At 53.7% G+C, this 10,141-nt stretch overlaps 2 annotated features.

The window, feature by feature from the left end:
• Nucleotides 2,499-2,928: a silencer, noted in NCBI's record as "silent region_14686". NCBI's record gives its function as "represses an Ori minimal core promoter by ATAC-STARR-seq in GM12878 lymphoblastoid cells {active_cell/tissue: GM12878}" and the evidence as "EXISTENCE:reporter gene assay evidence [ECO:0000049][PMID:35858748]".
• Nucleotides 5,455-5,975: an enhancer, noted in NCBI's record as "NANOG-H3K4me1 hESC enhancer chr3:127171391-127171911 (GRCh37/hg19 assembly coordinates)". NCBI's record gives its function as "activates a minimal SCP1, AML or CMV promoter by ChIP-STARR-seq in primed H9 embryonic stem cells {active_cell/tissue: H9 hESC(primed)}" and the evidence as "EXISTENCE:reporter gene assay evidence [ECO:0000049][PMID:30033119]".

Below are 10,141 nucleotides of genomic sequence, written 5' to 3'. Positions count from 1 at the left end.
AATTGATATCTAGTGGGGATTAGGATTTAGCCAAGTGAAGAGAGAAACTAAAGAGTTCCAGACAGAGGGAACAGTATGTCTAAAGGCACAAGTGAGGGTTTAGCACAGTGGTCAAGAGTGCAGGCTCTGGGGCCATTTTCCCTATTAACTAACCAGCTGTGCAACCTTAGGCAAATGACTTACCTTTCTGTGTTTTCGTTTTCCCATCTACAAAAATACTATACAATGCAGAATATTATACACGTTTATAGGGTTGTTGTGAGGATTAAATGCTTTCAATAAATGTCAAGTGCTCAGAACAGAGACTGGAATATAGCCAATATCAATGCAAGCTTGTTCTGACAGGTGCAGAGGCTCAGAGTTCAGAGCACAGTGGCTGGACCCTGGGCTATTTGGCAGTGCAGGGAGTTGGCAGGGTGGGGTTTGGGGGAGCAGTGAGGACTGAGCCTGCAGAGGTGAGTGGGGCTGGGGGAAGGAACTTGGAGTCTGTGTTGAAGTGGATCTCACTCTCAGGGCAACTGGAACCCTCAGATGGTTGGCTATGTGGAGACTGGGCTGGGTCTGTGTGTGTGTGTGTGTGTGCACGTGCATGTGTGTGTTGGGGGGTGTCTAGTGGCTGGCTGCCACCTGAGAGGAGCAGATGCTGGGATGGGGAGAAGGGGATAGTCGAGACCACTCCCCCATGTCTAGCTTTGGTAGGGGTGGGTGTTGGGGACACGGTTAGCTGCAGTCATCCATCTTTTAAGGGCGGTCTTTATTTCTCAGATCCTTTTTTTATTGGTTCCCCTTCCCCCACAATAGGTTTCCGTGAAGAAAACCCCTGTTAACAACCTAGCATGTATCCTGTATTTTCTTTTGTGTTAATAAAATCCTATAGAGGCCTATATACATATACATATATACACACAAACTCACAGATTTTTTTGCCCATTGTTTTATAAAAATGGGATCGTATGTTACATTCTTATCTCCAAATTGCTTTTCTCACCCAATAATACCTTATAGAAATCCCTTTAAGTCTATTGGTAGGCAGGTAATTAAATTTTTTATAAGTTGCATAATATTCCGCTGTGTGGCCGTCCCGCCGCCTGCCCTTCCCCACTCCCCCGTCATGTCCACCTCCCAGCTTACGCCTCGGCAGCTCGGCTTCCAGAGCCCGGAAACGGCGCGCTGCTTCGCACCTCCTCTCCGCGATGCAGCCCGTTCCCTCCGCTGCCTGACTCACACGGCTGCCTCCTACTCACTGGGGATCCATCTGCAGCTCCTTCTCCAGGGCAGCGGCCGGCAGGGCTGGCGGGAGCAGGGGGCGCAGAGAGGTCAGGGGCAGTTGAAGTGGGGCCTCGTGAGCCAGGCCGTGACGGGGCTGGGTCTTGATCCTGGATTGGGGGCCTCCCGGAAGGCTCGAAGCAGGGAGTGCTGTGTGTTAAGAAGCCCTGTAGCTGGCTGGAGACCTGGAACCTGTGCTGGTCGTCCTGTAAGGCAGGGGACCTGGGTCCCTCCGCTCCTCCCCAGGCTCCCCATCCACCCCCTCCCTCTTGGTCCCCGCTGTCTCCATTGGCTTCTCCTCCCCCGTGGTGAGCCAGGCTGTCCTGAGTGTCCAGGGGCAGACGGCCCCCGCCCACCCGCTTCCTGCGGCTCCCCCCAGGCCCTCCGGCTTCAGTCTCCACAGCTGAATCCTGCAGGAAGCCATACAGTGGGAATCTCCGGGCAGCTTCTGGTTCGCCCTCGGGTCTGAGTCACTCTCTGTGCTCTGTCTCCCCACCTCCCCACTTCCTCTCTGGCAGGCACCGATGCCTTCTGCACATTGTTCCCCGGGGAAGGGAACCACCCCTGCCTCACCTGGCGGCTTCCACTCCCGGTGGGGCCGTGGTGCCAGGGGCGGACAGTGCCATGGACAGGGTGGCTGCTTTGGTTCCCAGACTCCCTGAAGCCGCTTGTAGGGCCCTTCTAGAAAGGCCTGTCGTCGGCCCGCCCCTCCCCTGAGGTCAGAGGGCATGGGTCATCAGCAGCCCCGGGGGCTTGTCCACCAGATGCAGCAGGGTGGGGCGGAACAGGCCCTGTGTCTGTTCTAATTGCCCTGTTTCACTTCCGAGGCTACCTGGCTTTTACACCACAGGACGCTGAGTTTCTAATTACTATAGGGAAAGAGAAAAGGAGTTTTCTTTTTCAATAAGTGTATTTAAGTGGAGGAAGATCTGAAGGAAATGCCCACATGACTCTAGTGGGGCCGGGCGCCCAAAACCTGAAGGAGAGTCCGTGAAGAGGCTGGGAGGGTGCCCGCCGGCTGCTGGTGGGCCAAACCCACTTTTCTTCCCGCACTGTTTTGAAAAGCTATTGAATTGTGGGATTCCCAAGCAAACGTGAATTTTCTGGCTTCTTTTGAAAGGTCTGGACACTGGGCAAGGCTGAGAGGGGGAGCAGCGTGCCTCCCCGGCCTCCCTGCTGGGTTCACGGGGGAGAGGTTTGCAGCCCGCGGGCATCCGAGTCCTGCCCAGGCGACTGGGAGGGCCAGGCCAGAAGGGCGTCTCCTGGGGTGGGAGGCCCATGCCGGGCCGCCCCCGGGACTCACGCTGCTCCCAGGCCCTAGAGAGGGCGCCCAGCCCGAGCGCCTGGGACAGGCAGTCGCGCAGTGAGCACCTGTAGAGGCTGGGGTTTGGGCCGTGGCGCTGGCGCCGGCTCGCGGAGCTTCCCTCCCGCCCTCGCGGTCCCCTCTCGGGCTCGGTCCCTTCTCGGGCTCGGTCCCCTCTGCACAGCTAGGGGCCGCTCGGCTGCGGCGCGGCGCTCTGGGGGCGGCAGGGGGCGCTGGCGGCCCGCGGGAACCCTCTGCAGCTCAGGACAAAGGCTGCGGGTGCGGCGCCGAGCCTGCGCTATGCTGGGACCCGGCGATGCAGCCCCGACTGCAGCCCGCTCCAGCCCATCCCGACCGCCAGCGCCGTCGGTAGTCCTCTCCCCCAGCGCACACCTCCGCCTCTCCTCCGCATCCCTCCCCGGCCATCTGTTTTGCACTTCCCCTCTCCATCCCTGGGCCTCTCTGTCTTCTGTCTGCCTCTCTAACTCCAATAAGGGCTGACCCTGTCTCTGAGTGCCCCTTGGGTCCCTGGCATCTCTCTGTTTTTCCTGTTCCAACTGTTTTCTCCGGAGGTCAGTTTGCTCTTCCAGAGAGGAGGCCCTGAGACCACATTAGCAGTGATGGGACCAGCGGAGAAAAAGCACCCCGCCTCCTCCACCTTCGCCTGCCCTTTGGCCTCTGTTGCAGGCTGGGCGCCTCTGACTGCCCACAGATAGTCTTCATGTTAATGCCAGGTCTTACTGGGTTCTCCCTCTGGTCCCACCATGCCCCCTGGGTTGCCTGGGGAAAGGGGGGAGGTTGGGATCCTGGCCTGGGCTCCCTGTGGTTGCGGGCAAAGCTGGTGCTGAATGGGAATGGAAGGCATTCTGAGGCTCCGGGCTGGGCCACGGGACCTGGCCTGCCTCTGCTGTGGCCTGCCGTCCCTGCTTGCCTAAGATCTTCCCTTCCATGTTCCCAGTTCCCTACACAAATAATGAAAATGTAGGGCTCTATGACATTTTCCAACTCTGATCATCTAGACTCTAGTGACATGGATCTAAAATCCCACACTCCTGGTTATCTGACCTTCAAAGCAGGTGCTTTATCCAGTTCTTAAGACAGTACTACGGGGAAAGTGTCAGCACGCCTATTTTATAGATGAGGAAGACTGAGGCCCAGAGAGCCGAAGGAGCTGCTGCAGGGACACCAAGCCCTGTCTGACTCTCAGCCTGGACCTGCTCCCCTGAGCCAGGCTGCTGTGCAAATGGTCAGAGGGCTCCAGGCTTTAGCTGTCAGAGGTTTCTCCACCACTGGAACCTTAGAAGCACAGAGGAGCCACCCTCATATGCCATGTACTGCATGATTCCATAACTGAGAAGTCTTCCTTGTGGTTTGGATGATGTGTCGTGCCAGTTAGGAACACTGAAAAGCAGATGCCAAGATGACGGAGCAAGAAGTGCAAGGGATTTATGGCAGGAATCACCTGCAAGAAATCCAGAGGAGAAGGAGCAGGAGTGGGTGGGGATTGCCTGAGACCATACTGTGGGTTTGAGCCTTCTAAGAAGAGAGAATAAGGCAGGCAGATTGGGTAAGAAGAGTGTTAGCCTGCAGCACAGCTCTGAGAAAATCTCTCCGGCCCAGTGGGACTCCCTGATAGACTGTCCACAGAGGAGCCCCAAGCTGAGCAGGAATGCCCAGGCCCTGGTACTGCTGCCACACTGGGCTTTTGGCTAGCAGAGTGTGGCCTCAGCCTGGCTACTTGGCAGGTTTTGCAGGCACAGCAGCTGCAGGCTGTGGGCTGATTGGGTCCTCAGGGCAGCTCTCTTTGGAAGGCTGAGAAGTTGGGTGGTATGGCTCTGTGGCTGGGGGCACCCACTATTCCAGAAAGCACACAGTGCTTGGAGCCAGCCAGACTTGCCACTTTCCAGCTGGGTGATCTTGAGCAAGTCTCTGAGCCTTGATGGCCTTACCTATAAAGATGATCAGACAGTTGTCTAGAGGATCCTGTGGGTAAAGTGTCTGGCAGAAGCTTGGCAGTAGACACTTTTAAAAGGTGGCTGCTTTGAGATAATTTTTCTTTATCTGAGGAGTTGGTATATCCCCTGCCCTTCTACTCAGAGGGCTGATTAGACCCTAGGTATGACCCCATACTTTTGATTCCTCACTGGGACCATGGGACTAATACTAGTATCTTCTTCACTGGTTCATCTTCCTACCTGTTAGAGGCAATAACATTTTCCTATTGTGTTGTTGGACTGAAAATTGCATTCTTGCTATTTGCCCATTCATTCATTCACCGACTCTGGCCCAGCACATCACCCTGTTTTATCTTCTCCATCTTAAGCCATCTTGTTTATTGAAGTGTTAATTGTCCTTAAGCTCTGGGAAGACTTGGCTCTTGTCAAAACTGTTCACAGCTGTGTCTTCAGAGCCTAGCTGCAACACCTCTTTGTCGAATGAGTAAATATATTTACCAAGAGCCTACCTCTTCTCATGTAGGGGTAGCATGTGGCGCCTCACGTCTAGGTGCTCCTAGTTCAGTGGAAAGCTGGACATGGACTGGATTTTAAACACTATATTATCAGAGCTGGGGCAAAGAAGGCACGTGGGGTTTTGGCTGGGTTTGGAGAGGGCTAGGGGTGAGCACAGACTTTCATCTTTCAGAGCTATGCAGAGGGTTTCTCTAGGAGTTGCAGAGTAACAGATAGGCATGAATGAAGTGGCCAGCTGTGAGCCTCCAGGGACTGGTGGGTACCAGGATGCTCTGGGAGCTCAGGTCTTGTCCAAGAGGCCTTTAAATTACATTTTTATAGCAGCACATGCAAGCCCACAAACAAGACTGTGGCCAAACAAGGCTCTTGGGCCCCTGTTTTGCTCTTCCTGGCCTAACCCTCTGCTTCCTTTTTGGGGAAGAGGTGGGAGCAGTGTGTAGAGTGTGTGTGCCCTGGGCTGGTACACAGCACATATTCACTCATTAGACGCCCCTTCAACCAACTCTGAGTAATCCATAGTATTGATCATGTGGGCCAGATGCAGAATCAGTAATGCAGAGAGGTTCCACAGCTCCTCAAGGTGCTCAGTAAGGAAGAGGTCTAGCGGAGATCTGATCTGAGAACTGGCCGAGTTCAGAAGTGGTGCTTCGATCATTGCAGGGTAGTGCCCAAACATTTCCCTGTGGCGCTCCACCAAGTTGCCTTTCCCCACCGAGAGGCTGTGAGGGCACATCCAGCCAGGGCTGGAGCCTTCTGCAAGCTGCCTTGCCTGCTTCAGGCCCTCTTCCCAGCTCCGTCCTGGGACAAGTTTTGATTGTCGGCAAAGGCCTTTGGTGCCTGTGCCTCACAGCTGAGCCTCCACAGATGGTTGCTCAGGGAGGACTGTGCCTATATGTTCTGATTACCAAGGGACAGATCCCCAGCCTCAGAAGAGGGTCTCCCCAGGCCCCTTGTCCCAGGCAAGGCCCCCTGGCAGGCAACACTTGCAAACACAGCAGCCCTGCAGGGCGGGCAGCGGCCCAGATGGCCTGACATGCTGATATGTGCAAGGAATGCAGGGCTTTTGTCTTTTGTTCCCTGGTCAACCAGCTGCTGCCTGAAGGCCACATGGAGCCTGCGGGCATCAGCTGAGCCTTGGTTCCATTGCCTATGCCTGGGCTACCTTCAGCAAGTCATTTAACCTCTCTGGGTCCTGGTTTCTTCATCTGAGAAATGACAGAGGGGTTTGGATGAGCTTAGGGCTTTGACATCCAGATGCTATCCTTGGACTCATGTCAGTTTCATCAGTACTCGTGTGTGTGTGTGTGTGTGTGTGTGTGTGTGTATTCTTTTTGCACCAAATCAGAGTGAAATTAGCAACATTTGGCAATTAATGCATTTTTTTTCCCCAAGACTCAACTCTTAAACAAAGTTCTGAGTGTTTGACTTTCATTTTAAATAGGTGGCCGTCAGGGGGAATTACATGGCTCCTAAAGAAACACACAGACATTATAATTAAAGAGATGCCAATCTTGACAGGTAGTAGGAGAGGAGAGAGGATGTGACAATGAGAATGGAGAAGGGGAGAGGGGAGCTCAGAGCCGAGCTGGACGGGATAAGCCAGGGAAGTGTCTCCACTAGGGTGGCAAGCTTGGTTTCAGCATCAGCACCCAGACTGCCACTCTGCTCATAGTGACCACAGCAAGACCCAGAAGGGGCGCCATATGGTTTGCAAGGCACTTTCACAATCTCTGTTTCTTAGGATCCCATAACATTCTAGAAATGCAAGTTAATTAATCCCATTTCGCGGGTGAAAAAAGTAAGACCAATGGTCAGTTCCCTTATTTTGGCCACAAACCAATAATGCTACAAACTGATTCTCCCCTCTAATCCCAAGTTGAGCCCTGTCCCGGGCTGAGCCCCACCCCTGCCCCACCCTTAACTCAGACTGAGCCCCCCCGCCTCCCACCACTGAGCCCTGCCCACCACCCCAGGCTGAGAGGTGCACCCAACCCAGGCTAGACCAGTTAAGCAGCAGCCAAATCCATTCCACTGGATCTAAGATAGATGGTCTCTAAAAGTGTAGATGACCCAGAGAAGCCTCCTTTTTTTTTTTTTTTTTTTTTTTTTTTTTTTTTTGGCTAGGGTCAGGGCTCAAAGCTCAGGGTCCCTGGACAGTGAGGGAGGAGTGGGTGAGGAATGGCTGGGAGAACCCTGGCCTGCCAGGAGTCAACCCAGAAAGAGAGGTTGTGAACTCTGGCGTGGAAGAGCTGATGGGGCCACCCTTGAGTAGATTCCATATGTCCAGGCCAGGTGAAGTGGACTCCTTCCCAGTTGGTGGTCTTTCCTACACACACACACACACTCACACACACACACACACACACACACTCACACACACACACACACACACACACATGCTGTCCCTACCACCTTTGGTGGCCCTGGTGGCTCCTGTGGCCTGCCTGAGGCAGGTGCCTGAGGGACTGTGCTGTCTGACTAGCCTGGGCTAGACTACCAGACTCCCCATGTGACCTTGGTTAGGTTCTTGCACCCTACACCTCATCCGTACCTCCTGGGCCTCTGGGCCGGTGTGCTGAGATCATGGGGATGAAGGGCCTCTGGCCCAGCAGGTGCTCAGCAAGGGTGAGTTTCTTTCCCTCTTCCCTTTGAATCTTGCCTCTTCCCTCAAGGCTGACTGGCCCATCCTCCCCCAACTCCCACAGTGGGCTCCCCCTCTGACAGGCACCTCATTAGCAGAATCTCTGTAAATAACGCCAACGAGTTAGAGTTACAACAAGGTAGCTCATTAAAGGCACTTCGCTTGTCTCACTTCCCAATTAGTGTTTCTGTGGGTGCAGCTGCCAGGACTGCGGTGACAGGGCACCCTCGGCATGTCATGGTGCCTGGGCAGGCCTGGGTCACCCCAGGGGAGCCAGTGTCAGCAGTCCCAGGAAGAGGGAATGGGCAGCCTGGCTCACTCCAGCTCAGCAGCCCTGCATGGTCATCCTGTGACAACTGGTAGCACACAGCATTTGCACCCACCGCGTGGAGCACCCAGCTGCTGGGGCACCCCAGAGATGGACCCAGACTTGGACTTGGTTTTGGTTGGCGAGTCCATTCCTCCATCCCAACCCTTGTATGGTCCACTTCCACTCCAGCTGACTCCATCAAAACAGACCTGTCCCATGTCCCATCTGCTCCATCTTCCTCTTATCCTCTTTCATGGGTGACCTCGAGTTTTCCACTGCAGCTCCTTGGGACCACATTCTTTCCCTTGAGTACTGAAGTCGTCGATGACAACTTCAGTATGACAACAATGGTGGGAATTTCAGGCTAAAAAGGAAGAAGACAGCATGCCAGAGAGGCCTTGGGATGCGTGGGTGATGATGTCCCCAGGACAAGCTTGCCAGGTTGCAATTTTTATCCATGTTTCTATACATAATGAAACAGGCTCATAGAGGGTCAGCCATTTGCCCCAGATCACGCAGCTGGTAGGTGCCAGTGCTGAGGCCAGGGCCGAGATCACTCTAGAGCCTGTGTTAGGAGCTGGCTACTTACCTGTGCCAGCAGGTTAATGGGAGTGGAAAGTGATTCTCTAGTCCTTCCCTCCCTCCCTGCTCCCTCAGCCTACCCCTGTTCCATCTTTTTTCCAACTAGGTTTCGATCCCCTGGCCACACTTCCTTCTGTTTTCACTTTGGGTCTGCACTTTCTCTTTTACTTTGGGAAGGAAACAGCTCCCAATTTCTCTCCCTCTTGCTGAATCGATAGCTTAGCTGGGCAAGGCAGAACATGAAATTTACATTCAATGGTTTCCATGGCAACCACCGTGCTGGACCAGTTTCTCCTGCTCTTGGGGGCACAGTCTTTTGAGAAGAGCCAGGTATCAAAAACTCAGCTCCCTGAGAATGTGGCAAGGGTTTTAAACAGAACTAGAGAGGGCTTGAGTCCCCTTGACCATCAATTTTTCTGGCTGTGTGTTACATGAGGGAAGGGAGAAGAGCCCTCCATTTCCCCAATATATCAAGGAGCAAATTGCTGGTAGCATCATCCCTCAGCCTCATCACAGCTAACACTTTGTGAGCTCTGACTACGTGCCAGGCTTTGTGCTGAATGCTAAAGCATTCTTTTCTTTCATCTTTGCTTCAAACTTAAGAGGTAGGTACTATTGTTATCCTGTTCCGCAGATGAGGAAATTGAGCCAAGGGAATATTATACACCTTACTTTAATGTCTCAAAGAGTCACAGCCTCCAGGATGGACCCTAGATTGGCTTGACTCCGGAAACTGTGGTCTTAATTATGCTGTAATGGAATCACACTGGGGACTCAGAGGTGAACAAACTCCCTTCCTGCTTTGCTGAGGTCTACAGAAAGGGCTGTAGCATCAAGGCTGAGAGCACAGGTCTGCAGCCAGGCAGCCTGGGTGCCTTTCCATATCTTGGGTGTGCCTCAGTTTTTTCCCTCTGAACTAGAGATTAGGCATAGTATCCATCTCTCAGGCGTGTTGTATGGATTAGGTGAGATAAAGCCCACAAAGCACTGGGGTGGTGCCTGGCACATGGTCAGTACTCCATAACAGTAACCACCATGTTTGCCACTGGGGTAGGAGGCGGACCAGTGGGAGTCAGCCATTCACATGGTGTCAGTGTGTCCTGGAGAGCCAGGGAGAAGCACTGGACTGTGACAGCTCAAAGGAGACAGCAGGCAAGGTCTGGGGGTCAGAGAGGCTTCCTGGAGAAGGTACAGGGAAGGCAAGGAGAGGAAGAGGAACATTTGAGGCAGAGAGATTGGCAGAGAGTAAGGAGGGAGCGTGGTACATTTGGGCAAAGACTAGCGTGGGATGGGGCTGAGACTCCGGGTGTGTGGAAGGGGCATTGTCATTCCTGCCTCCTCAGTACCTATTTCTCTTCTTAATTTTCTTTTAGGAACCCACTCTCTCTCATCCACAGTCTATGTGATTGGGGAAGGTCTGGCTCCGCCCCCTGGGTCCACGTATGGGCATATGACTGAGCCCTAGCCAATGAGAGACTTGCATCTCTCTGGCTGCATGGACACATGACTCAAGCAGAGCCAATCACAATTAATGCATGCTATGCCTGAGACTTTTGCTGGAGCTATGG

This window comes from Homo sapiens, chromosome 3 (genome assembly GCF_000001405.40).
Source record: "Homo sapiens chromosome 3, GRCh38.p14 Primary Assembly".
NCBI classification, from domain to species: Eukaryota; Metazoa; Chordata; class Mammalia; order Primates; family Hominidae; genus Homo; species Homo sapiens.
This window is presented reverse-complemented; position numbering and strand designations above follow the sequence as displayed.